At 42.1% G+C, this 27,939-nt stretch overlaps 1 protein-coding gene across 4 annotated transcripts in view, besides 7 other annotated features; it reads left to right on the top strand.

Annotated features, from left to right (window-relative positions):
* Positions 1,875-2,004: an enhancer, noted in NCBI's record as "active region_22572". NCBI's record gives its function as "activates an Ori minimal core promoter by ATAC-STARR-seq in GM12878 lymphoblastoid cells {active_cell/tissue: GM12878}" and the evidence as "EXISTENCE:reporter gene assay evidence [ECO:0000049][PMID:35858748]".
* Positions 2,365-3,134: a silencer, noted in NCBI's record as "silent region_16021". NCBI's record gives its function as "represses an Ori minimal core promoter by ATAC-STARR-seq in GM12878 lymphoblastoid cells {active_cell/tissue: GM12878}" and the evidence as "EXISTENCE:reporter gene assay evidence [ECO:0000049][PMID:35858748]".
* The window catches only part of MAP3K1 (mitogen-activated protein kinase kinase kinase 1), an 80,604-nt gene continuing 55,311 nt past the window's right edge, over positions 2,647-27,939 (top strand). For 2 of the 4 annotated variants that reach the window (NM_005921.2, XM_047417218.1), the window contains exon 1: positions 2,647-3,153. In NM_005921.2, coding sequence (NP_005912.1) covers positions 2,672-3,153 — 482 coding nt within the window. In that variant the 5' untranslated portion in view covers positions 2,647-2,671. Of the gene's footprint in view, positions 3,154-4,025; positions 4,215-7,330; positions 7,915-27,939 lie in introns of those variants that run through there. The other 2 variants (XM_047417219.1, XM_047417220.1) reach the window with 2 other exon arrangements.
* Positions 3,205-3,324: a silencer, noted in NCBI's record as "silent region_16022". NCBI's record gives its function as "represses an Ori minimal core promoter by ATAC-STARR-seq in GM12878 lymphoblastoid cells {active_cell/tissue: GM12878}" and the evidence as "EXISTENCE:reporter gene assay evidence [ECO:0000049][PMID:35858748]".
* Positions 3,456-4,279: an enhancer, noted in NCBI's record as "OCT4-NANOG-H3K27ac hESC enhancer chr5:56112185-56113008 (GRCh37/hg19 assembly coordinates)". NCBI's record gives its function as "activates a minimal SCP1, AML or CMV promoter by ChIP-STARR-seq in naive and primed H9 embryonic stem cells {active_cell/tissue: H9 hESC(naive and primed)}" and the evidence as "EXISTENCE:reporter gene assay evidence [ECO:0000049][PMID:30033119]".
* Positions 3,505-3,744: a silencer, noted in NCBI's record as "silent region_16023". NCBI's record gives its function as "represses an Ori minimal core promoter by ATAC-STARR-seq in GM12878 lymphoblastoid cells {active_cell/tissue: GM12878}" and the evidence as "EXISTENCE:reporter gene assay evidence [ECO:0000049][PMID:35858748]".
* Positions 7,540-7,834: a silencer, noted in NCBI's record as "tiled region #15646; HepG2 Repressive non-DNase unmatched - State 19:H4K20". NCBI's record gives its function as "represses a minimal TATA promoter and a strong SV40 promoter by Sharpr-MPRA in HepG2 cells {active_cell/tissue: HepG2}" and the evidence as "EXISTENCE:reporter gene assay evidence [ECO:0000049][PMID:27701403]".
* Positions 12,462-12,972: an enhancer, noted in NCBI's record as "NANOG hESC enhancer chr5:56121191-56121701 (GRCh37/hg19 assembly coordinates)". NCBI's record gives its function as "activates a minimal SCP1, AML or CMV promoter by ChIP-STARR-seq in naive H9 embryonic stem cells {active_cell/tissue: H9 hESC(naive)}" and the evidence as "EXISTENCE:reporter gene assay evidence [ECO:0000049][PMID:30033119]".

The following is a 27,939-nucleotide window of genomic DNA, read 5'->3' on the forward strand; positions in this document are numbered from 1 at the left end:
ACAGTGAGGAAATGCCCAGTGTCAAAGTGGATCCTCAACGTGAATATGCTGCAGGAACTGAAGTGTGATGTAGGCAGTTTCCAGAAGCACTATGTGGAGGCAGTGATCTGTAATGCACTGGTATTAAGGTTATTGAAATGGTCATGAAATTGCCATGAAATTGCATGCGTGAAATCATTGCAAGGTTTACGTCCCAGTGAGGATGGAAATGAAGAGCTTGGAAACAGGAATTGGAGCTTTCAGTCTAGAAACAACCTTGGAAGAAATACAAGTCTCCTGAATGTTATTAAATAAATCATATTAAGAGAATTCAGAGCCTACAGTACTTGATATTTGACATCCACCTCTCTGCAGTAACATAGCAGGACTGAAGAGCACCAAAACCAGCTAGAGTCTTAATCACGCATTAGACTCAGAAACTTCTATTAACATATGGCAGAGGGAGAACACCCTTTTCAGTTAAGCATGTCCTTTGATTCTCTCTTTAAGAAATCAGTGTGTCCATATGCAGATGCATAATGACAACCTGAATATTTACGTAAACAAAGAAAAAAATGACTCAAAGCAACAAAAACTGTGGGAAAATACCAACACTTAGGTTTCTCCATGGTAATACGTGGTGGATGGAGGAAGTGAGAGAATTGTAGCTAGTTCATAGTGCTGCGCTGGGTAGCCCTCTCCCTTTGATCCCCAGTTTCAACCACTGTACAAACAGTCAAAAATCAGTTTTGCTGGAATCTCCTTTTTACTCTGCTACTCTGGCTAAAGTCTTCCACTTACTTTTCTCACTTACAGGTACCTGAATATGTGCGTGCAAATGTAAAAGTCTTTAGATCAAAATAGGAACAAGGAAAGTTTATCCGTTTCAGTTTAGGATTTGGTGGGTGTGGCAACCCAGGAAGACCTGAGAAATAACCACTGTTTGGTTTGAATGATACATTTGACTGCCATTAAAATAGCATATAATTATAGCCTAAATGTAGACTTAATTTTTAACAGATTTATCTGAACTTTCAAAATTTGTACCGTTGGGTGTAACGATCTAAAACTATCTTATGGGAGATGTTACAGCAGTTTTCAAATCATTGAGCTAATATGAAATCTGGACTTTTTAAAACCCCTCTGATCTAACCTGGTTACGCAGTTAACATTGTATCTGGGAAAGGGGCTTTCATTTTACCTAGTCTCCAGAAGTCAATGGAATTATTCTGTAAATAGTTCAGGCTTTTGTCTAAATATGTGAAGACTGACAAGACTATCTCCGTGAGAATCCGCACCCCCCCACCCCAACCTCCCCCCTCCTTAATCATGTTTCACAAAGTAAATCTATAGACGTTCCTCCTGGGTTTTGGGAGATTCCCCATCCTAAACAAACCAGCTGGAGGAAAGGAAAGGAAGGAAGAAATAAACGCAACACAGAAGTTCTCCTCAGTTGACAAAAGGTCAAAAATCATTAACGTGTAAATGTTGCTTTTTCCATCCCAAAGCACCTTCTCACGTAGAGTCCAGGGACTAGGAGGACTCACAACGCAGCGATGGGCAGCCAGGCCCTGCAGGAGTGGGGACAGAGGGAACCCGGCCGGTGGCCCGACCCTGCAGGGAAGAAGGACGTGCGGCGAGAAGCATCGGATTCGGGGAGGGCCGGGACCTGGCCGAGGGTGACATTACCGAGCACTTCCTGGCACAGCGCTGGTCCCCTCCCCAAACGCGCTATATGTGGTTCTGTACGGGACTGCCTTTCCCAAAGACAGCCAAGGAAAAACTAAAGATCGACGGGGACACCCGCCTCCCTTCCTCGCCCCAACGGTTTCTCAGAGGCTGTGGGGACTTGGTGAGGGTAGGGGGTAGTTGTCCCAAATCAGCAGCTTCAGGATGTAAGGTATTACAGAAAACTTTGAAGTTTTGTTATCTGTAGCACAGGGACAGGGGTGGGACAATAGAGAAGGAATGTTTTCTTTTCAAAAGAAAACACAAACAAAACTTTATTTTTCTGGTCCGCGGCAGCCTGTCTGCTGAACGTTGACTTGCTTTCGCTTTGCAGCAGGCGACGGTCCCGGGCGCCACCTGCGCGTCGGTGGGAGGCTGGTCCACGCCCGGGTCCCCCGACGCCCACTGCAAAGGGCAGTGGGAATGACAGACTGTAAACCCTCTCGCCTGCGTCCCCTTCAAGCACCAGAAACCCAAGTTGGAACTAATTCTTTCTTTCGGAAGGTGCAACTCCCCTCCCGCGAGCTCCGCGGTGCCGGGCCGAGATTGCCGAGAGGAAGCGGCGCAGCGCTGCCGCCAAGGCTCCTCCTGTCGCCGGTGCGGCCGGGACTACCTGGCGGCGCGGCGCGTGCAGCGCGCAGAGTCCCGGGAGCCCACGCCTCCGCCTCCGCCCCCGCCCCCTCCGCCTCCCAGTCCACCTCGCCCGCCCGCCCTCTCGCCCGGCGGAGAGCACAGCCCACTCCCTCCCACCTGCGGCCGCCGGGCCGCCCTCCACCCACACCTCTGCCGCAGGCCGGACCCAGTGCGCCCGCCCGTCGGTCAGTCCAGGCCAGGCGCCCGGCGGGCCGCGCTCACGCAGTTGGCGCAGGAGGCCTTACGCTGGCGGCGCAGTGCCCGCCCCCTGCGCTCTCCCCGCCCCCTCCCTCCCTCGCAGGGGCCGAGCGAATGTAGCCCGCGAGAGAAAATGGCGGCGGCGGCGGGGAATCGCGCCTCGTCGTCGGGATTCCCGGGCGCCAGGGCTACGAGCCCTGAGGCAGGCGGCGGCGGAGGAGCCCTCAAGGCGAGCAGCGCGCCCGCGGCTGCCGCGGGACTGCTGCGGGAGGCGGGCAGCGGGGGCCGCGAGCGGGCGGACTGGCGGCGGCGGCAGCTGCGCAAAGTGCGGAGTGTGGAGCTGGACCAGCTGCCTGAGCAGCCGCTCTTCCTTGCCGCCTCACCGCCGGCCTCCTCGACTTCCCCGTCGCCGGAGCCCGCGGACGCAGCGGGGAGTGGGACCGGCTTCCAGCCTGTGGCGGTGCCGCCGCCCCACGGAGCCGCGAGCCGCGGCGGCGCCCACCTTACCGAGTCGGTGGCGGCGCCGGACAGCGGCGCCTCGAGTCCCGCAGCGGCCGAGCCCGGGGAGAAGCGGGCGCCCGCCGCCGAGCCGTCTCCTGCAGCGGCCCCCGCCGGGTGAGCAGCACGGCCGGGGTCGCGGCGGGGACTTGGAGAGCGGGCAGAGGGCAATGAATGAACCCCGGGCACCATGCACGGCGTCCCGGGGTTCAGCGCAGCGAGGCTACGCGCCGCTCGCCGGGACCTACGCCCCTGAGCACCCCCCGACCCCTTCGGAGTCGGGCGGCGCCCCGGACCCAGCCTGGGGGACCGGACGGGGACGTGCGGAAGAGTTTGTTATTGTTTGCAGACATGTGACAGGCGTGCGAGCCTCTCTGCGGGGAACCGTTGCGAAAAGGTGTAGGGGGCCACGGCTGGCTTTGTGGGACTCCTGGAATCGGGGCTCTCCGAGGAGCCCGGGGGCGGGGCACGGCCCTGCGGCGGCGCCCCCGGACGGGTGTCCCCGGGGCAAAGGCACTGGGGGGCGAGGCCCGAGCCTGAGGCGGGCGGTGGTCGGAAGAGGGGCGGGGTGGGTGAGAAGCCCGAGGTCGGGTGGGAGACTGAGAGGACCGAAGAGAAAGTAGCAGGTCCCAGCGGCCGTGACAGGCAGAGCCCCTCGGCCCGCCCGGGACTCGAGTCCCTAGGCAGATACCGCGGGCTGGGCCCGGACGCAGGCGGCGCGCCCCCAGCGCCGGCCGCAGGGCTCCAGGAGGACGGCTCGGTAACGCCTGTCAAAGCCGTGCGGCGGGAGGCTGCACACTCGCGGAGGCTTGCAGTCTTTTAGGAAGTGCGGTTTGTCTAATTGCAGCCCCCAAGGGGCTTTGAGTGTTCCTGGGAATGCGAACTGCACTGCTAAGTCACTTGAGTGACTTCTGTTTGGAGTTTGAATTTGGCCTTTGAAGTTTGCATTTGGCGGAGTGGTGTAAGAGCCAGGACCGGATGTGTCAGCCATTCAGTTTCAAAGCAGTGGTGACTGCTCCCCGCAGCCCCTCCGGCTTGGCCCGGGGACTGCGGCGCGGGTGCAGTGCTTCCTGCTCGGTGCCCTGGCGCGGGCCGCCCGCTGAATTCCAGGGGCCGCAGTGCGGTGGGCTTCGGCTCAGATGCGTCTTCTGGTGCATATGAAGTACAGTATGTGTAAGGTAATTTAGACCAGCGGTTTATTGGCCTCGCCCATTTTTGGCTACTGGAAATTTTTATGTTAAAGGAAATTCTTTTAAGTGTGACAGCTACATCCTTGTTTGTTTGTTTTTTAAAAACCTGATTAACGTATGCAAAGTACAAAGTCTTGATGGGTATTTTGAGTTGCTGGAAATGTTTTTGTGATAGTCCCTCGTGGCCCTGTAGAATTCCCTGACCTTTATTATGAGAAGAAAGCGTGTCATTTTGTGAGACGAATTTGACAGTAGGAGTCCTTGGTTTGGATTCATTATCTAAAGTGATCTGGCATTTTTTGTGCATTTGATTATTTGCTTAAAATCACGATCCATTTAGTATTTGGAAGTCCCCTTCCTCTCCCCAAGAACTAAAAAATATGCTTCGCACTGTACCATGGCACTACTGAGACCAAAGGAGATTTGTGACTGATACAGTTTTGTGTGCACTTGTACATGTAATTTATTCTTACAAGAGTTATGTACCTCTATAGTTTTCCCATTTCTGTGCAGATTGTATTAAAACTTAACTGGAATAATTCTTTGAAGGCAACTTCTACTTTAAATGAATTCCAGATAAAAATTTTTAACCCCAAATTTAAGAAATTGTATCTATTGAGACCTAACTTTTTGGATACAATAAATAATTTAGCAAACGTCAGCATTCTAGTACTCTTAATGAGCTGTGAATATAGTAGAAGAGCATCCACTGTAAAAATAATGTACTGAAATTGTTTAATGTTGTCTCTTGACACAAAATAAGAGGACTAAGGTGGAGGCAGATAGAATTTAGGGACTAAGTAATCCATGCTTAGTATTTGCGTTTTGTAACCGAGGTTTTTTCCCCTTTGCTTAAGGTGTAGATTATAATTGCACAGTATAAGAAAATAATGGGCTTGTAAGGATAATCTTTTTTAAAGAAATTATTTTTACGAGTCAGAATGCTGTTGGTTTATCCCAAATGTCATACGTAAAGATTTCATTTATAGTAAAATGTTGATTCCCTAACCTTATGAAATATAGTGAATTTTTTTTTCTTAACAATTGGGTTGAAATTCATTTGAATCTGTTCGTATAAAACTTTGTGGGGAAAGGGCTTGTATCTTATTTGAGTGTGTATATTTTGTATTGCATGTTGGTTATGCTACACTATTACTTACCATTTAAAGTTTTAGGAAAAAAAACCCTTAATTATAGCCAACTCAATAAAATATCAATTGAACTTTATGTTTTACTTTTTTTTGACAGTTAAGTTACATTCATACTTCCAAGAGGAAAATCTAAGATTTTGAAATATTTGAGAGTTCTGTGATCTTTTTTTTAATTTTAGAATTTCCTTCTGATCTTTGAATGTAGAAAATATACTTTGAATTAGAATTTATATAAATAAATAATACTCGTATTTAAATAGAAGATTTTAAGTTTGTCCCTCTTTTTCAGGGTGATAGCTGAAATCAGTGAAAGTGCCTGTAAGTGGCGCCCAAGGGTTTGGAATTTTTCCTTATATTACAGAATTTAGGGGCTTTTTCTTCCTATTTACTGTCTTTGAAGAAAAATTACAGTGTTACTCTCCATTGAACAGCCTATTGTGAGTTTGGTAGATATAATTACCCCATCCTATTTTTGTAACTTAAAAAACCAAACTATCAATTTGCTGGCCCCGTGAAAGAACAAGATATGCTGTACTTGTTAATGTTAGTTTTTGTTTAAAACTAAAGGTATTTCACAGGCTGCTTTTATATCCTCATATAGCCCTCAGATTTCACTTCCTTTTTAAAGCTATTAGGCTAAAAATATGATTTAGTGACCTTTTACTAAAGAGGAGGTATAAGAGCATTATTACCTAAAAATTACTCTTAAAATATTAAGTGGGTGACTTTATAAAAATAAAGGTAGTCACATAAGTTAGTCTTCCGTGAATTTGTAAGTTTTTAGTTAAGAATGGTGTCAGTTTCATTTTAAATCAGATAAGAAAATTAATGCATTCTTCAAAGATGAACCTTAATATAATTCTGGAAGAGAAATATAAGAGCTAGAATTGTTGCCAACTTTTATTTTCTTTTCATATCTGATTTTGGCAAGAGTGACTGGTTAACCAACATTCCTTAATATACGATTTCCAATGCACTAAAACTCCATTTTGTTAGATACGAAAAACAGGAAGTAGCCCTGTTCATTGATATTCATTTACAACTTCCATAGCACCTCGAGCATAATATGTTGCATATTTTAGAAATGGCCACTGACTTGTCAACTTGCAGATTTCAAAATGTGGGAAGAAAGGAGTGTTTTTTTGCTTTCAACAAGAGCAAAAAAAAAACCAGCTACAGCTTGCCTAGGCTGAGTCGGCTAATCAGTCCTTGACACTGGCTGTGTGCATCCCAAAGGAAGAAATGAGGGGGTGGCAAGGTAGTTAATGGGGAATGGATTACCATGAGGAAAAATATGGGGCATTCAGAAATGCTCTCAGGTAGAAAGCACCTCTTTTGCATTTTGTACTCCAGTCATCTTCTTGGGTTGAGGGCTGTCTGTTACACAGAAGGCGATGGGAAAATGTGTCATGGAAAAGTAGTAGTCTCTAGAGGCTGCTTAGGAACTGCGTGTATATTACACCTCTAATCTTGGAATTCTTTGCTTCTATCAAATATATCAAGTATAGACTTGGTTGTTTTCCTTAGTCCTTGCCTCTTTCTATATCCTAAGTTAAAAGCTAAAGCAACTTAAACATGTAAATGGTAGACTATTAATGTGAGGAAATGTGTAAGATTAGGAGTAACCCAAAGTTGTCTTTAAGAAATTATTTAAGAACATGTTTAATCATGAAAGAAATAATCAGGGCCGGAATTAGTAAATGGTTCATTGCAAAGCATGAGATTAGTCAGATACTCTTTTCAGTTTGCAAAAATATATTAGGATTTTATCTGTGGCTTAAAACATACTCATTGAGCATATAGATATGCCTAGATACCTTTTACATAATCAACTCTTTTGCCTTCTGTGTGTGTGTATGATATCTATTATATGTATTATATATATGTTTATATATAATCTCATTTGATCATCACTGCAGCCCCCTAAGATAGTGTAATTTCTGTTTTCTGTAGGTGCAAACTCATCTGAGATGGTAAAACCTCATGATTACACAACTAGAAGACAGCTAGGATTCAATCCCAAGTCAGACTGACTCCACAGTCCATTTCTTTCCACTACTCTGCTTCTTCCATTTTCTTTTTTCAAATTAATAATCAAATTAATTGATTATTTTTAAGGAGAAATTTGTTTTGCAGGCATTCTAATAGACCATGAGCTAGGTCTCTACCCTGTGCTAAGTTTGCCTGTTAATGTATATAATAGGTATGTTTCTGTAACCTGGCCTTGTATATGTAATACAAGTAAACTGTATTTGGATCACCCTATCATGTCAGCCAAAGAGGGTTAGTCATTAGTGTTGAATGTTTCTTAGATTTATTGATTTGTGCTGTATTAAATCATAAGTGAAAGGAGATAAGCTGAAATTAATATGGTTCATTCATGGTAATCACACAGGAAGAGAAACTTTTACTATTGCTAGACCCTACCCCTTTGTTATTGTTTTAGATTTCATCCATTCAACATTTATGAACTTCTGCAAGGTGGTGGTCTTGAGTGGTGGAGAAAAAGATCATGAGTGCACAAGCTGTTTCTGTCGGTAGGTTGTAGTATGAACATGTTTCACAATACCGTGTTAAGTGCTATAAGAGAGATGGGGATACAGAGGGGATACAACATATTAGTTTCAAACTATTTCTGCCTATTTTCTGATAAGAATATATACAACACTGCATGTTCAGGCATGTTTTTTTTTCTTCCAAGGGAAAATTAAAAAGGAGATACGGGGAGCAAGAAATTCAACATCTGCTACTGCTAGTTCTGAAATTCTGTCTTTATTATTAGTAACAGCAACTCTACTAGTTACGAAAACAACATGGAGAAATATAAAATATTCTTTAGGGCATAAGATGATCAAGAAGATAGCCTTGTCTTTATTTACTCTATGGCATGTCATTGGTGATTGAGTTATGTTTGGTATGGAAGGGAGTTCTGTATTGTTAGTGATTGAGTCCTTTGGAATACCAGGCTGGTTTGATGCAGATGTTAATTTGATCGAGATGTGGAGATGTTGTAGCATACTAAGGGGAATTGTTAAAACTCACCAAGTGTATAATTCTGCAAGTACACATCTGTCACCTGGGAATTACTAAGCCACCAGACCTCTTGAAGCCTGGAGAAAGTGCTTGGAGCCACATGGGACAGCCTACACAGTACTGTAGTTAGTACGTTAACTAAGTTCATCACTTGTAAGCATAATGATGGATAGACATGGAGTGAGAACAGGGTCAGTACTGGGGTGTAGGTGGAAGCTTTGCTCTTGACAGATGTTATCATTACTTTTCTTTTTTTATTTTTAAATTAGAAATGGGTTCTCACTATGTTGCCCAGGCTGGAATCGAACTCCTGGGCTCAGGTGATCTTTCCACATAGCTGGAACTATGGGTGCAAGCCACTGTGTCTGGCTTTACTTTTCTTCATTGCCTAAACAATAATTTAAGTTATATGTTAACACATAATCTTCAAACTGGTCTTATGGTATTCTGAATACTAAACATCAGTTGTTAACAGACCAGGAACTTTATCTGATTCTTTGCACCATCTCCCAGCATCTAGACTAGTGTCTGGCACCCATGAATATTAGGTACCCAGAAATGTTAACATGAATTAATTTTCCAAAAGTGGTTAAATTAGTATATCTGAAGATTAACTTACTGTAGTGAGATTTTAATCATGATCTAGCTTAAGACGAGTTTTGAAGGCAAGAACTGTCTTTTTTTAGGAGTTTTTGTATATCGTTTGGTATTTATTTATTTATTTTTGAGACGGAGTCTTGCTCTGTTGCCCAGGCTGGAGTGCAGTGGCGCAATCTTTGCTCACTGCAGCCTCTGCCTCCTAGGTTCAAGCAATTCTCCTGCCTAGCCTCCCGAGTAGCTTGCTGGGATTACAGGCATGCCCCACTATGCCCAGTTAATTTTTGTATTTTTTTGTAGAGACAGGGTTTCACCATGTTGGCCAGGCTGGTCTTGAACTCCTGACCTCAAGTGATCCACCCACCTTGGCCTCCCAAAGTGCTGGGATTACAGAAATGAGCCACTGCGGCCAGACCATTGCTTGATGTTTAATAGCAGTAGTTGGCATTTAGCAAGCAGTCATTGATAATATTGACCAATTTTATGTAATGTGAGCCTTCTAATAATTAGTGTAGTTACAAAATAATTGGAGCCATGCTCAAACTGTCAAATATTGAGAAAACTGAATTCCTGGTATTTGAAAGTGTCTAATTATTTGCGTTAATTGGTAAGCCCCTCCTGATTTTCTACTTAACCATGACACTTCTTCCGTGGCGCCCATCTTCATTCTCTTGAACATTGATACTGGAAGATTCCCAGGGTGGTCCTAGGCCTTCTCTCATTCTGTCTTGTCGATCCCCACCCCAGTCTTATTAATGCCCTTAGATCAGTTATGGACCATTTACAAATGATTGCAGAGTTTATTGTCCTAACCATGATCTCTCCTAAAGTCCAGACCTACACCTGGCTACATGACTTCTGCGCAGTCAGATGTCTAAAACCAAATTAAAGATCTTCCCTAAACCTTCTCCTAACATGTTCCCTGCTCATTAAATGGCAGAACCAGAACCCAGGAGTCACCCTTGACACCTCCTCCTCTCACCTCGTCAGATTCAGACCATCCTTAGGTGCTGGCAGTTTGACCTGTTATCACACCCCTAGCCAGGTGCCCATTGTCTCTCATTTCCACTAACTTAGTGGCCTCCTTGCCTGATCCCTGTGTCCTTTCTCCTTTGCTGTCCGTTCCAATCTGTATTAGGTGGCCAGAGTGATCATTTCCAAATGTAAATCTGATCATAACTTCCTCCCTCCAGAAAAGTAAATGTAATTTAATTTTAAGATGTTCAGATGGCTTCCATTTGGATAAAGACCAGGAAATCTTTAACATGCCTGACCGAGTCCCTGCCCGGTTGGGCCCCTGTCTGCTTCTCCAGGCCCATCTCAGCTCACACTTGCCCTTGTTCCGTGGCAGGGTTGCGTGCTTTCATTTCCTCAGACTCACTCACTGCCTTCTTCTATAGGGCCCTCACATGCTCCCTCTGCCAGGAACACTGTTTTTCCATAAAGTCAGCTCCTCGTTGTTAAAATCTTAACTCATTGACACTTCCTCAGGGAAGCTTTCCCTCATCCACCCAGACTGGCTTTGTAGCAGGGTGTCCCTACTGTCAGTGTTGTGCTTTTACATTTGTTACCTCATTTGATGAATGACTGCCTTCCCCCTAGCACCTAGCAGGATGCCTGGCATAGGGTAGACACTGCATAAATATTTATTGAATAAATGAATGAGAGGGATAATGGCATGGCATGTTCAAATTAGTGGATCCACTGTTTTTCCTGTTTAGTCAGACGTAGTTTAGGACATAGCTGAAAAGGTGTTAAATGGCAAAAGTCTAGACTATGGTGTTTCAACACTGTAGATTTGTGATAGACTCATTCAGAGGTACCTGGACTTGTAGACGTGCCTGGTGGCTCGAGTGAAATAGGACAGCTTAATGTAGTAGAGAGCAAATAGCTATACTGCATGACAACTTTATAGGTAAGAAGAGTCTGCTATGTGTATATAATTATTCTGTACTTAATAGGGAGTTAAGAGTGCGTGTGTGTATATATATGCATTTATATATTCACACATACATCTGTGAATAAATATACACATAAAGGTGTCATGCATTAATATAATTATTCTTATTTTTAAAGTTCTCAGAATGTCATCTAAACTTAAGATATCATTTTTAGAATTCTTATCTGATAACCCTACTTCATCCAAAATTCATTAATTTGATCATAATTCAACTTGGGATAAATAAAAGTTCACATTTCCATTGAAGAAAATATTTGTTAGGCAAGTACTCCATGAGATTGCAGAAGCCAAGAACCCATGTAACAAAACATTTCAAAGTTTACTGTTGGTAAGTAAACCCAGCAGCCTCTCTTATCTAGAACATGGGTTAGCACTAAGAAGTAAGAAAAAATACTCTAAGCAGCCAAAGGACCTGTAACAAAATATGTGCTTTGAAGCACTTTGATTTTACACTTAGTAGAGTTCCCAGGGCATTTGCTCAGGATTGATACTTATTTCAGATGTTGTTCATGCAGTGTTGTTCATGTGGTGTTCCTAACATGCAGCAATTAGAAGCAGCCAGTTAGAAGGGGTGGCGGTGTGAGTCCTGCAAGAGGCAGGTTCCCCAAAGGCAGCAGTGTTGGCACACCTGACAGTGAGAGGAGAGAGGGAGAATAGGACTCAAAACATTGCAGTCGGGGGCCACCTAGCATTGGTACAATTAGTTCCATCTAGGGCAGCCTCTGCCATTTAAAAATATACTCAGTGAAGTGAAGTTGGAAAGCTTGTAATATAGATTAAGGAAAATTACTATCCAAGATAGTTATAGAAAGTGTCTTGATCTTTGAAGTGGTAAACCTCTAACTGTTCTGTAAGATGTATTTCTGTAGCCTTGATGATACTGAATAAATATGTACTTTAGAATTACATAAAAATGGATGCTGCTTACCGAATGTCTTATCTATTATCTGTGTGGAGAAATCTTTTTTGTTATTGTTGACCTGAGTCATTTTATACCTTGCAGTTTCTTTAAAATGCATAATAATCACCACTACCACTAATATACTGATCTTTTCCGGTTTTTTAAAAAAAATTTTTATTTTTTTTTTTGAGACGGAGTCTTAAAGATATTTTTCTTGCTCCAAGGGTCTAGATTCTTCTTTTTTTGTTGTTGTTGAGATGGAGTTTCGCTCTTGTTGCCCAGGCTGGAGTGCAATGGCACAATCTTGGTTCACCACAACCTCCGCCTCCCAGGTTCAGGCAATTCTCCTGCCTCAGCCTCTTGAGTAGCTGGGATTACAGGCGCCTGCCACCACTTCCAACTTTTTAAATTTTTGTATTTTTAGTAGAGACAGGGTTTCACCATGTTGGCCAGGCTGGTCTTGAACTCCTGACCTCAGGTAATCCACCCGCCTCAGCTTCCCAAAGTGCTGAGATTACAGGTGTGAGCCACCATGCCCGGCCAGGTCTAGATTCTTAAATAACCAAATTTCAAGTTTTGTACAAAGATTGAAGGAAAGCTAGTCTTTAACCAGGAAGAAAAGGATTTGTTAAGAGATTATCAGCCGTATCTTTGCTGACTCATTGATACTGTGGTGCCTAAGACATCTTGGCTTTTGTGACAGAATCCTGCATACAACTTTCTCCAGGATAGTTCCTCCAGGAGGGACCCCTCTGCCAGGCACTGTGGCAGTCACATGTCCAGGCTGCATCTCTGCCCTGCTCAGCCTCTTCATCCTTGCATTCAGATCTCCATGTGGTTTAGGGTGCCCATCAGGGTAAACACTGCCATTGTCTCTTTAATTGCTGTGCTCTTACTCTTCTGGCTTTCACACCTTCAGCTTCCAATCAGTCACCAGTTCTTGTTATTGCCACTCTCCTAGTAGCCTGAGAATCCATCCAACTTCCTCCACTGCCATGACTGCTAACCCAGGGTCAGGCCACTGTCAACCCACTGTCAACCTTTTCTTCACCCTCAGAATGAAGTCCAGACTCCATAATGCAGTTCAGAAACCCTTAGGACTCAGGCTTCTGCTCACTTTCAGCAGCCCCTCAGAATGGTCTGCTCCCGTCATTTCAGCATCGTGCTCAGTTTTAGTCCCTCAACTGACCGTTCTTCTTTTTTTTTTTTAAAGAAAACAATTTTTATTTAAAAATTTATTTTATAAGAAGTATTGGCATGAATACATAGATAAGGCATTTGAAATGGCTTCTCTGGTTGGACTGTTGACCAGCTGAATTCCAGCTCTGTCCTGCAGCTGATCACCCTTCTTTCTCGGCGTGCCCAATGCTCTTACCTCTATCTAGAATACTCTTTCCAGCTCCGTGGTGAGGTTTTGTTTGTTTTGTTTTTATTCTCTTTGCAATAAAGAATTATTGGTATTCCACTAAAAAATAAATGTGGCTTTGTAGAAATCAGTGCTGTACTGTGAATTCTGCCGAGCTCTGGTTTAACAAGTTCCTCGATATCTGAGTTAGATTTGCTACTTTTAAGCCTTTTTAGTTTTTTTCTCTATCATTGTACATGTAGTCAGGTCTTTCTGAACGACAGTGTTCACAAAGAGATGTTTGTAAAGCACACATTATTGTAAAGTGAATCAGATTTTCTTATTTTGTGTTAAAAGCTCAGAGATGTGGTCTCAGGGAAAAAATGTTGCTGCCAACCTACATATTACTGTCCTTGAGAATAATCCGAGACCTTCACAGGTCAGACAACAGATGTGCTCAGATACTTCAAGCAGAGAGCTTGATGACGATGTAAGCATCACAAGATTTATGTCAGCTGCTGGACCTCCACAGACAGGGTCCCAGCAAGCTGACAGGTTGTAGGTGAGCAAGCACGTTAGATGTGCAGGTCACTCACATCCCTTTTTGTGGGATCAATGGATGTTCTTTCCTGAGAAATGAAAGGGCAGATGAGTAAGCATGCTAGAGCATGTGTCTTCAGTCCTGCTGTCACTCCTGAGGAGATGTCCATGCCTTCAAGAAACACTCAGAGCTGCCAGCCAGGCACCAAGGTGCTGGGGACACAGCAGGAGGGAAGTCTCCATCACTTGCCTGTGGAGGAGCTTACCTGATGACAGACAGTGCAGGCCCCCGTCCACTGTGAGTCGGGGAGGCATCAGGAGGCTTTTTTGGGAAATGTGAGGTGGAGCACCAAGCCAAGTCCCGATAAACGTGGAGGAATGAACCAGGTGAAAGGAACTTGCAAGGAGGTTTTGTGGCCTAGGGGTGGGTGGAGAACACACAGGCCCAGAAATCAGCAGTCTTAGGATGGCATGGAGGACTGCAAGTGTAGTTCAGGTAACTCGGCCAGAGTGGAGGCAGGGTCCAGGGACCAAGCTGGGACACGATTTCTGGCTCTGGCCAGAGAGAGAGCCACGCAGAGCTCTCTGCCTCGTATTGCCCCCACTGGCCAATCCTTGAATCTCAGCGCTTAGGACAAAATAAAAAAGCCTTTGTAATTTGACAGGTAACCACAGAGTGTTAGGAAGTGGGTCAGGAGGCCCCAAGAAGGATTTACATCAGAGCTGGGACAAGACAGTCTGGGGTCACAAATCTGGGAGCTGTGGCTTTTGTACTTCAGTAGCTCCATGTAGTTTCAGAGGTTCACAGATTGGGAAGTGTTCTCATGGCAAAATGAATTCCATCCACTGTGGTCCTGAATGTGGTTTTGGAACTACATGTTTCCATTTCAGAGACCATGCACTGTAGTGATTAAGAACCTGGGCCTTGCTGGGTGCCGTGGCTCACGCCCGTAATCCCAGTACTTTGGGAGGCTGAGGCGGGTGGATCACCTGAAGTCAGGAGTTCGAGACCAGCCAGGCCAACATGGTGAAACCCCGTCTCTACTAAAAATACAAAAATTAGCCGGGCTTGGTGGTGTGTGCCTGTAATCCCAGCTTCTTGGGAGGCTGAGGCAGGAGAATCACTTGAAACTGGAAGGCAGAGGTTGCAGTGAGCTGAGATCGCGCCACTGCTCTCCAGCCTGGGTGACATGACGAAAACTCCATCTCAAAAAAAAAAAAGAACCTGGGCCCTAGGAATTAGACCTGTTAGCTACTTGGACCCCAGGGAAGTCACTTCTCTGAACCTTGAATTTCTTGTCTCTAAAATGGGGTCGTTGGTGGTATAATGAAGCACCATTCTTGATCCAGAAAAGTATTCAGTTAATACTAACTGTAGATAATACTCTTGCAAGTAACTGTCTATGCTCACTACTTAAACCTTTAACCTTTTAGAATGAGGTTAAGAGCCTCCCCCAAGGTTGCTGTGCTACTTATCACTAGGTTAGCAAAGGCGGTTTGTGTAGATAATACATCATCTTGATAACAATACATTTTCCCCTGTTATTTTGAAATGATTTACTAGAAAAATAGAAAATGGCAACTTTCAAAATTCTGTGATATGGGATAAAGCATCTCCTCAGGGTTCTTATCTCTGTGACCTAATGCAGGTTTCTTGGTCTTCTTTTCTCATCTGTGAAAAGAAAAGGTTGGTTTACATAATCTCTCAGTTCCATTCAAGCTCTAGCAACTCTCCAAAAATTTAACTTGGAAATTACTTCTTGTGGCTAAATTTAGCTGTAATTATTGAAACAACAATTAGTTTTTTGAACTTAGAAACTCTTGGAATTTTAAACCTGGGTAACAACTATAAAGAGAAATGCAAATGAAAAGCAACAAAAGCTTAGAAAAAAGAAATCATGTTTGTCAAGCAACATTAAGTGATGAGAAAATCTGTTTTTTAAAAAGCGTAATAACTGCTAGGAGAATATTATTTTGCAAATTGGAGAAAATAAATTAGGTCAAAGTCATTAGCATGTTTGTGTTTAGCAAATACTACCTTAGGGGGCAGTTTTTAAAGTAACTTTAATTTTTTGACAACTTTGCTATTAAAAGCTATCTTTTTCTTCTTAATGTTAATTGTATAAAGAAGGGACATTTTTGGATATAACCTCTAAAAAAGCTTCTTCTTTGACTTCTTCTTGTGTTTATTTATAAAGACCTTTTTGTAAATAAACATGTATGCATCTTTTTTTTTTAAGTTAAAAATGCATCGCTTGGTAACAATCATATTGCTTCCTAATTGTGAAAATTTACATTTAATTATATTTTGGGGGTTTTTTCATGTAATTTGGATAGAGTTGACAGCTACTAGAAAATGCAACTGCATTTCACTATTCTATTATTTTGGGCTCAAGTTCTAAAAAATTATGACTTTCAAATAGACTTGGAATAAGACTGTTTAACTGATTTAATCATTGTAATTGCACCAACTTGAATCGTATTCACAGAAACCACCTTGCCTATTGCTGTTTTTCTTCTTTTTTTTTTTTTCCTCTTTTTTCTGAGACAGGGTCTCACTCCTTCACCCAGGCTGAAGTGCAGTGACATGATCATGACTCACTGCAGCGTCAACCTTAGCGGGCTCAGTGTATCCTTTCACTTCAGCCTCCTGCGTAGCTGGGACCACAGGTGCATGCCACTGTGCCCGGCAAATTTTTTTTTTTTTTTTTTTGTAGTGACAGAGTTTCGCCATGTTGCCTAAGCCGGTCTCCAACTCCTGGGCTCAAGCAGTCCACCCGCCTTGGCCTCCCAGAATGCCAGGCTTACAGGTGTGAGCCACCATGCCGAGCCCGCATTGCTGTTTTTTATACACTGAACTGAAACTGTTCATAATTCATTGCAGAGCACACGGACATTCAGCAGTAATTATTTTTTGTCTTGGATTCCTGGTAGTAAAGAATGCTTGATCCTTCCTGCTTCTGCCCCAACCCATGCTAGTTCTTACTGTTGTGATCAGTTATTAGATATTTATTTGGGGCACTTACTCTGTGCTGCTAGCACGTGATTTCCAGATAAGGCTGTGATCAGGAATAGAGCAAAGTCTTGAATCTTGGTCACCTCAGCACCATTCTCTAGGTAGTTGTGACTGATGGTGATAACTGGCTGTAGGTTTTGTTACCAGTAAATAAGGCAGCTAAGCTGTCATCTGCACAATGCAAACTGAAATCATCCTGCAGTTTTTTAAGTGGATAGTAGGACATTCCCTCCATTGCAAGATGATTTGCTAGGAGAGTTTTAAATAGTGCTGAAGACACACGAGAACAAAGCCTTCCCTTTTTGAGCTCAGGTCCAAAAAAGCAGTTTTGGCATTAAAGAGAAAAGGTTTATGCTCAAGAACTTCTTGCTTTTTCTTCTCCCTCTTACTTCTTGGACTAAGTGTTGGTGATAAGATACAAAACCGTTGGTGTCTGAAGTACCTCTGAATCCAGCAGCCTTCTAAAGAAATGTTATCAGAATTATATTGTGTAATATAATGCTTTCTTCTTGTTGAGGATGCCCCAGAATACCGATAGATGTCACAGATTTTGCAGATTATAATTGTGAATTTAAAATTTAAAATGTCATATATTTTAATTACTAAAAACAAATTAGTAGACATTTCTTATCTGAGTAGAAGATACTGTTGGCCATAACCTAATCCAAAATGAAATTTTTTTTCCCCAAGTTCCGTCTCTGTTTCTTGTTTTACTTTCCCTCTCTCTTTCTTAAACACATACATATACTACCTACCCCACCCCCATGCATATACAGGTCTTTCTAAATTACTGCCTTTTCACTCCACATGACCAAGTTGTTTTGGGACTTGGTGTTCCAGGTTCAGTAAGCCTCTTACACTGGGTTCTGTGCTATAGAAAAGTTGCTATAGTGCTGGTACACACACATTTTCCTGTAAATTTCTCAGTTCTTTATTTAAAAATAAATATTTTATAAATCATTTATTGAGCATTGATAGGGTTTGTGTGTGTAATCAGATGCTGTCCTTCTGCTTTATACTTTGGATTACCTGTACTGTACTTTTTACACCTAGTCTGACTTCCTGTCCTTATACTATTGGGTTACTTCTGCCCCAGCTGTATCATTTTGTGTGTATTTAGAGCACATGAGCTAAATCTTATATTGGTTAAAGAGTTTAAAAATCTGTCACAAAATTTTGCCCAAAGACAGAAAATTTTATGTTGTCATTTACTGTTTTTTTTTTAAATACCTAGTCTAGGATTGATTTTTTTTTTTTGTAATGCACTATGAGAGATTGCCTACATTAAAAGCATTGGTAACAGCACGTAAATGTTTTGTAAGAAGTTTCTGCGTAAGGAATATAATATATTTAAAATGTTAATTCATTCCCATATGCTTAAGTAGTCATGTGTGTCAGATCTTTTCAAGTACAGTGTTCTTGCATTAAAATAGCCTAGAAATTTTATTTCTGCATTCCAGTTCTGTCTTCTATAACTTTTTTTTAACCCGTGAAAATGGGATAAAATGTTGGGTTTTTTTTTTTTTTTTTTAGGATCATGTGTGTGAATTTGAGGTTCAGAGACTGCAGTCACTGCAGAGACCTGAAAGCCATTACTGTCTGTCCTCTGTGATTATATGTGTCCCCTGTGATTCCCACCTGCAGGATTAGGAATGGGAGGGAGAGCAGGGGGTAGAAAAGGGAAGGTGGCAGAATCCATCGCAAACCAGTGAACTCCAAAACCTAATCAGGCTTCTTTCTAGGCAGATTCTATGAGAGACGAAGACAGACCACAAAAAACCTAGCCCTAATTTTTTTTTAACCCATGATTTCTAATGTTTATCTATTTGTTCATTTTGTAATTCGAGTTTAATCAGACCAACTATCAGGCAGGCATTTAGTTTGCACTTTCAAAAATTGAAACTTACACATTTATTAAATGATATCCAGAATCATTTCCTTTTTCTTTTAGAACATTAAACATTAATCCTTTTGAGTATTCTCATGTATTTCAAGGTACTTATGATTGCTTATGTAGGACTAATGCAAAAATTAAATGAATTCCATGAGAATTCTTTTTTGACCTCACAAGAGTTAAGGAGACCTACTTTATGTGAAAGTGAGATTTTTATAGATAATACTTTGAAAACCTAAATTACTCTGATACTAAACAGTTTACTGTGTCTGTTAAAGTAAAAAACCTAATTGAATTGCAGTTGAAATTCAAGAGTCTAGACATTCCTTGTGGGCATATTTGATTTCCTCTTTCCCCTTTTAGCTGTTGGAGAGGGAATTGCCAGGTGTCTTTAGTGGAAAGATATTTAACCTGCTGTCTGACTGCTTATTGTGGTAGATGAAGTGTTAGCACTGGCTCAGGCTTGTGAGACCGTTCCCCATTACTGTCCTAACACTTTGGCAGGATTTTGAGTAAAGTTACTTTATTTAACCTCTTTTGAGTTTGACCTCATCTATGAATTAGAAATAATGATACCCTTCATACTTAGAGAATTTGGGAAGAGCAAATGAGATGATGAATATAAAAACCTACCCTTTCAGAAGGGTAAAAATAAAATACTAGGATTTATGGTCATAGCATTTTAGAATTCGGAAGGACAACCTCCTGACTCTAAGCAGTAAAAGTGGCAAGCAAAGGGGGTTCAGCCATTGTTGAGAGATTTCCTACTTCAGTACAGTGCTGGGTCTGGGATCCAGCCTCAATCATCCTAGTTCACTGTCACTCTCCTACTGTACTTATCTGAAATGGCAATAATAGTTAACTTCCTCTGTGCTTGGTACACTGGATGCCTTATATAAATTGTCTCATTTAAGTCTTACATCATCCTTGTGAATTTTGATTCCCATTTTACATATGAGAAATCAGAGACTGTGAGAGGTGAGGTATCCTGGCAAGGTGGTAGCACAGCTAGTGGGTGGCAAAGCCTGAAACTGAACCTTAGCAGTTTGACTTCAAGCCTGCGTTCTTAACCTTTATGATTATCTTTGCATATTTTTTTTAAATCAAGAGGTAAGTTTGTTTAATCAGAGCACAAATTTTATTATCTTGGAAAAATTATTCATTTCTTTGTCTTAGCTTTTATTCATTCTTCACATAGTGTATTATGAAGTCAAAATCATATGTAGTGATGACTTTTTAAATTAAATTATCTATTTAGGTCTTCCAAAAATACAGAAAACATTAGTGAAGCATTTTAAGTTTTTGTTTTGTTTTGTTTTTGTTTTGAGACGGAGTCTCGCTCTGTCACCAGGCTGGAGTGCAGTGGGGCTATCTCAGCTCACTGAAACCTCCACCTCCTGGGTTCAAGTGATTCTCCTGCCTCAGCCTCCCTAGTAGCTGGGATTACAGGCATGCATCACCGCACCCAGATAATTTTTGTGTTTTTAGTAGAGATGGGGTTTCACCATGTTGGCTAGGATGGTCTTGATCTCCTGACCTTGTGATCCGCCTGCCTCAGCCTCCCAAAGTGCTGGGATTACAGGCGTGAGCCACCATGCTCTGCCATGATTTTTTTGTTTTTATATGAAGTTCTTCTAAAATAAAGCAAGTTATAAACACAAATACATTTAAATTTCAGTGTTTTTACAAGGCCAGGGAAGAGACGCGGCTTCAGGGAAAAATATGGTTGAACTTTGTTAATACATACATTTTTTTGCCAGCAAAATTGGAGATATGCTTGGTGTGCACATACATTAAAAGCAGTAATTGTTAACACTTTTGGAGTACTTCACAGAGTGCCTGCCCAGACTGTCTGACATGCTTCTCATTTGGTGCCTACGCAGCCTTGCACAGTAGTAAGGGGAGAGTGAACACTCATGACCTCCTGCTGTCTATGCACACACTCCCTCCCCCACAGTGCCTCAGCTCACACCTGAGTATCTCTCTGCATGCTCCCAGGGAGCTTCCTGCAGTACCTTAGGCATTCTGAAACGTGTGTCTTTACAACAAGACACACTTGTTAAAGCTGTTTACAAATGAGCCTTGGCGGGGGCGGGGAAAGCTGGTTTTCATTTCCAGTTATTTTAAATTTAGGCTTATTTCACACTTCAGCATTCTTTTAATTAATGTGTTTTAATTAAAAGAATTAATTATTCTTGGTTGGTAATGCCCTTTAATTTGAGTAAAGATGATATCTAAGGCCAGCATCTAGTATTAAGTTATGCCTAGATGGACTTCTGTTCATTTATTCTGTTACTGGTGGTTGTTCTTTACTAGTGAAATAAGTTAACGAATGCCTGCCTGTCACATGTGGGGCCTTTATTTTGTGTTCAGCAGGCACCTTCTTTGATAATTATAAGAGCTTAGTGACTGAGAGAATTCAGTAATCTTCCTGACCCCTATGCCTTCCCAACAAAGGAGATTATCTTTTAGTTTATAGAAAGGTCACTCAGGTAAAACTGAAATCTCCTTCAAGGCAAGATAAATATCTTTATCCTTAACTGTGTCTCTGACATGCCATTATTTTTTCTTCAGTAGTAGTTTGCTGGCCCATAAGTCTTTTATGTGAACTGCTTATGGTTGGAAACTTAAACACTGTCACTTTAGCTCAGCACTTGTTTATTGACATACTTTCCTATGTGTATGTACTGTGCTAGGAACTGAGTGAGCCCTAGGTAAATGCTGGAGCCAGGGGAGATAAAAAGAGAGTTTAATTCTTGTGTTCTCTAGCTAGTTATTGATTACTTGTAGCTAATTTCATAAGAAACTCTTGGAGGAAACTGAAGAGTAGTTGTAGGTTCTACCTGGATGTGACAGGATTCTATGTGTATGCCTGGATATGAGGACAGCTTGTTGAATACTGCCTGTTAATTTGCTTTTGGGTGGATCATGAGGTCAGGAGTTCGAGACCAGCCTGGCCAACATGGTAAAACCCCGTCTGTACTGTACAAAAAATTAGCTGGGCATGGTGGCAGGTGCCTGTAATCCCAGCTACTCGGGAAGCTGAGGCAGGATAATCACTTGAACCCGAGAGGCGGATGTTGCAGTGAGCTGAGATGATGCCACTGCACTCCAGCCTGGGCAACAGAGCAAGACTCCATCTCAAAACAAAGAAAGAAAAAAGATGAGAGAAATATTGTTGTGCTTTAAGAAAGCCTTTTAAATTAAAATGTGAGTTGACACCCCAGCCAGAATAAGGGTGATGGTGTCAGGCTCCTGAAAATGATTTTGTTGTGTATATTTTACTTATATACAGCTTTTAAGAGAATAACTTGTATAAAATAAGATACTTAATTTTAGATATTATTATAATAAGTCTTAACAAGTAATAAGATATAAAATTAAGTATCTTATTTTATACAAGTTAATTACTTATTAGTGGTAATTCCACCTGCAGGCTTGAAGTTTCATGGCCTCCAGTGTTTCTCTCCAATGGAACCTTTGCTCCGTTGAACCTTGGATGGCTTAGAATCTGGCACAGATGCTAAGGGTTGAGAAGTGAATGATAGTTCTGTTGGCAATCTTAATTCCTTGATGGGCAGGCCCAGGATCACATCCATACCTTAGAAAGGGTAGCAGGGAAATACTAGCTCAGCTTCCTCCCTGAAGAATGCCAGTATTTCCTGGAAAAGAGCTGAAGAGGATCCTATGGAGGAGCCTGAGACCACTGCAGGTTAGGAGACAGGAAGGCAGGGAAGAGGAGACAGGAAGGCAGGGAAGAGGAGACAAGGAGGCAGGGAAGAGTTGACAGGAAGGCAGGGAAGAGGAGACAGGAAGGCAGGGAAGAGGAGACAAGGAGGCAGGGAAGAGTTGACAGGAAGGCAGGGAAGAGGAGACAGGAAGGCAGGGAAGAGGAGACAGGAAGGTAGGAAGAGGACTTTTTCCAAGGAGCCAGTGGTCCGCAGTAGGGATGCTGCTGGTTGAGGGCTACAGAGGACGTGGGTTAATGGAGTGATGGGAGTGGGACGTACTTTACTGAGGGATGAAGGAGAGGTGCGGAATCTTAGGCTACTCTGGAGAAACCTGGAGAAGGAGGGAGATGGGAGAGAAATAGAAGCTAGAATGTTTGCAAAGATGAAGCATTTTGGGGTTTGGTGGTTTTTTGTTTTAAGATAAAAAGGGGGGGAATTTTACAAGCTGAAGAGATGGCACAGAGAGGAAAAAGTTTTATTTGTGGTTAAAGTAGTGAGCATGCTTTTCTGAAATGTCATTTCTCAAGGAGATGGCGGCTTGGAGGGGGTCAATTGATGGTTAATAGGAAGCCAGTCTAATGAAAAGCTAGCTATACCTTTGAAATAGGAAATTTGTAGTTAGAAATGTTTGTGTTCTCTTTGTTTAAATTGTAGCTTGTGGTATAACAAAACATTCACTCATCAAATTTTGTAAAGAATTGGCTGTATGCAGATACTAGGAAGATGGCAGTAATGAAACAGACACAAATCCCTGCTCTCAGAGAGATAATATTCTAACAAAAACGTGTTTGTAAGTGTGCGCAGAACCCATTTCATGATTTCTGCTTGGTTTGTGGACTCGACTGAGGTTGATGTGAGCAGTTCCTGTAAAGGACCATCCCTATCCCAGGTTGTTCAGAGAATTGTTTTCCGTCCAAGCCCTCTGAGTGGCTCTTGTGTTTGTCTACCCTCTTCCTAATTGTCGCTTTTAAATACCTCATAGAAATACTCTCTCTCCATATTTCAACTTGGTCAGCATGTGTACCTGACTACAGCCAGTCAAATTTTGGTGCTGGTGACATGGGTGTGGCAGTGCACGTGGGAAGGTAATTCAGGAATTACCTTTTTTTTGGTAATAATGTCAGAGTGTTAAAGTGATTAGTTTTTAGAGAGTTAATTTCGGACCTATTTAGAAATACCCATATAGATATTACTTATTCTCTTGCATACTGATAGGCTTTCTTGGATGGGGAAAGTGGTAGAGATGTGATTAACGCTTTGGGCATTTGTGCGGTTTATCTTGTCTCTGCTTCGGGTCGGGAGTGACTTGTTACTGTTTACATGAGGCTAGTTGTGTGGCACTCCCTAAACAGTTTATTGAAGTTTTGTCTTGTGTATGTGACTGTCATATTATGATGGCAGAGTTGTTGAGAACAGCTGCTTCAGCCTATTGTCAAACATTTTGGCCCTATCCATCCAGCATACTTCTTTTAGGGGACTGAAGGAAAGGGACCCAGGAGTGTCTGTGCAGACTGTCATCCTAGTAATGCTTACTTGGAACAGTGAACACAATCGATTCAAGTCTCAAGTCTTTTGATTTACCTTAATCCATTTGAATTTTGTATTTTAGCCACCTTTGTATCTTTGACATAAAACCATCACAGGGTACTCCTCTCAGAAATCTTGGAATAAAATTGACACTCTAGAAAACAGATGCTCCATTTTTTATGCTTATGCTGTGGTTTTAAATGTATCCTGCCAGCAGTATCCCCCCACCTTAAGCTAGGAGAATCTAGGTGTGAGAAATTTGGATTCGGAATTCCAGCACTGCCCCCCAGACATGCCCATTCACTGACCCCCTGAGCTAGTTCCCTTTCTTCCTCTTGGGTTGCTTCCCTAATAGGATGCACTTCATGGCTTTTGCATCTCCCCTCCCAGCCACAAGATCTTTGAATCTCTGAGGGTTTTCTTCAAGGCATTTTATTCCTACTTACCACAGGAAAAATTAACAGCCATTAACAAAATTATAGACATGGGTAAGTTCCTAAGTTAGGTTTTCACTGAAATATATATGAGTCTAGACTCATGGTTCTTAGCTTCTTTACTGACCATCTCTTAGTCTTTTCCTGGGGTTGAAAGCTGTCATTTTTCCCAAGAGTGGTGTGGGAGCTCTTCCCTCTTTCTGCAGTGCCCCAGGACTAACAGTGGATACTTGGCATACACAAAGGCCTCAGTGAAGCTTATTTACATCTTGGAGATCTTTCTGGCGTAGAAGTTCATATTGGAAAGGCATTGCTTCCTCACAGCTTCCTATGTACAAATACTGGGCATTTGGGAGTCTGGATGAAAGATGAGTAAGACAAAGGCTTTGTTCTCAAGTAAAAGTCCAAGGGGAAAAGATTAATCCATTATTTTATTAAGTACATATTTATTGACTACCACCCTTGTGCCAGGCTTTCTGCTGGGGCAGGAGACATAAGCTTGAGACCCATTTCCGTCCTCACGGATCTCAAAGTCAAGAGTGGGAAACAGATAAGAGGCCATTATAGCAGTGCTCTTTGCTGAGTGAGGACTGAGGAAGATTTCTTCACACTGAGTTTTAGGGGACGTGGCCAGTGGGGGAGGCTGAAGGCAGCACCTGGGATGGTTTCTCCAAGGGGACCCTAGAGCTTCAGTTAATGAGGTGAACCCTACAGAGTACTGACACCAGGAAATATGCCTAAGGAAAACTAGATAAACTAGGGTTTTATTTTTATTTTTTGCTTCTTCTGTATGCTAGGCAAACTCACATTTTATTAGCTGTCAGTCTGTTTTCATTTTTCAGTTTAAAAGTTTTCAGGTTGATAACTTTGGTCCGGTATCAGTCAGAGTGATGATGAATTGAGTCAAAGCTGTTGTTTTAAAAAGAATATTCATATGCATGCCTATGAAAAAGAGCTGTCTTGTTTTAAAATGGAGTAATACAATTTGTGTTACAAGTACAGTTCTTTGCCCCATTTCCATTCAAATTGTCATTTATATCTGAAATCATTAAAATTAGAAAACAGTTATGATGAATGTCTTTTGAAGCATATAGCAGGAAAAGTCATAAGTCAAAACCTGCCAGTTTAAAGTAAATGCAATTATTTGGTTCTATGAAATTGTAGCTTTTGCTATAGTGAAAAGAAATTGGCATATTTATGAACAACTCCAGGATCTCATTGAAATGAGGAAGACATTATTTAGGAAGACAGTAATGATTCAGACTATATTTAGGACAGGATGTTAGAGTTAATGTGCCTTCTCTTTCAAGTGATTAGTGGGCAGATGACATCTTTGGTATTAATGATTGCCTGAGTTAACATTTTTAAGGAAAGAGTGCCACCTACTGAATGAAGAGCTTTTGTTTTCTTCCATTCAATTCGAAGAATCTTGTTTCACTTTGAATCCTTAGTGGGTGGCATTTGCTGGGCAGTGATCCCGTCTTCCAGTGGATTGACTAGGGTAGCTAGGATTCTTAGAGGGAGTTTATGCCCCCAAAACCAGGTGTAGAAACAAAACCTAAGCATAAACATGATTCAGCACTTGGCAAGTCTCAAAACCTTACCATCATGTTAATGTACTCACTGGCCCAGAAGGTTTTTTGTTTTGTTTTGTTTTGAGCTAGGAGCAAATGGCTGGGAGGAAATGAACTATTCCAAAAAATAATTGAAGGGGATTGAAGAGCATATGACATTGGTCGAGATCTTCTGGGGAGACTTCGTTTTCCTAGGGAATAATATTAGTGCAGAGATTGCTTGATCACAACTTGGCCATAGGTCAGTGGAGGGATTCCTGAGGTCAAGTTGCGAATCCAAAGGCCTACTTCAGAGTAATCCATATGGTGCTCTTTTTGTAGTTCCTAACAATAGTATCTCATTAGTGAAAGGTTGAGTACATGAACAGCAGCAAACACACCAGTATCCGAATTAAAGGACATCATTTGAGAATTTCGCATAGTCATTATTTTTAGTATATTGGGACATTTTTGATGTTGTGGCTTAATTGACTACTAGGCATCAGCCATCTCCAGCTTTTTCCACTTGTCGATTGGATTATGCAAGTCATGAGTGGTATTTAAAAGAGGTGGACTGTATGCTAAATTGATTTATCCTTGCTTATGTGTACAGATTAATGGTATAATCCATGAGGGGTGATAGATTAAGATCCTGAAGTGAAAAAATACATATATAGTGTCAGGTATATTAACCAATGGTTAGTTGCCTTTTATTTTTCCAGTGTAAAGTATAGCAGATCCTTCAATAATGTCATTTAGTTGAACATTTTGGACAATTTTGCTAAAAAGTTGATGAGGATAAAAATCTCTTCTGGCAGAGGCTACTGTCTGTATGGAGTTTGCATACTCCCCCCATCTCTGGGTGGATTTTCTCTCAGTACTCTGGTTTCCCCCTGACACCCCAAAGATGTGCACGTTAGGTTCATTGTCATGTCTGCAAGGACCCAGACTGAGAGAATGTGGGTGTTTGTTAATGCACCCTGCAACGGGATGACATCCTACCCAGGGCTAGTTCAAGTCTGGCACCCTGAATTGTTGGGACAGGCTCTGGCCACCTGTGACCCTGAACTGGAATAAGTGGGTAAATAATCATCTTATTAATGTTTCTTAAATGTATGTTACAGCTCACATTTTTTCAGTGTTTAGTGTTAGAAGTGTTTGGGGTCTCTAGAAGTTTGGTGATGTTTTTGTGACCAGAAATATGCCATAGAAACTTTCCCACTTGTTTACATCAATTGGCCTATGGTAAAGTTGGTTTTAAAGTCAAAGTTTCTCTTATTGTGTAACTTGCCATTGACATCTACTCATGTTACTTAAATAAGCGTTTTGTTTGTTTGTTTGTTTTTTGTTTTTTTGAGATGGAGCCTTGCTCTGTCACCCAGGCCGGAGTACAGTGCCCTGATCTCGGCTCACTGCAACCTCCGCCTCCCAAGTTCAAACGATTCTCCTGCCTCAGCCTCCCAGTTAGCCGGGATTACAGGCACATGCCACCACACCTGGCTAATTTTTGTATTTTTAGTAGAGGCAGGGTTTCACCATGTTGGCCAGGCTGGTCTTGAACTCCAGACTTGAGGTGTTCTACCCGCCTCGGCCTCCTAAAGTGCTGGGATTACAGGCATGAGCCACTGCGTCCAGCCAAATAATGAGTATTAATTGGCTGAATAGCAAGTATTCTCTGAAAACATTATTTAATAATACAAAACTTGTAAATATTTTAGCAATAACTGTGTTTTCAGATTTGCACTCAGAAAACTAGTATGACTTTTAATATTGTATCCCAGCTTTTCTCCTTTTAAAAAACAGAAAACCCTAACTTCTGTAACTTGACTGAGATTAAGCGTATCTGATACCATTATTCCAGATTATGAGAAAAGTCAGCTGTGTGGCTACAGAGAGCTCTGGCCTGAAGTAGTTATTAATAGAATTCACATTGGGACGTAAAAACAACTGGAACTGAAACTTGGTCTGAGAGCCGCCATGTTTCATGTCTCATTTCAGGCTACTACTTTGCATCTTTTTGACTTACAGCAC

The sequence above is a fragment of the Homo sapiens genome, chromosome 5 (assembly GCF_000001405.40).
Source record: "Homo sapiens chromosome 5, GRCh38.p14 Primary Assembly".
Classification (NCBI taxonomy): Eukaryota; Metazoa; Chordata; class Mammalia; order Primates; family Hominidae; genus Homo; species Homo sapiens.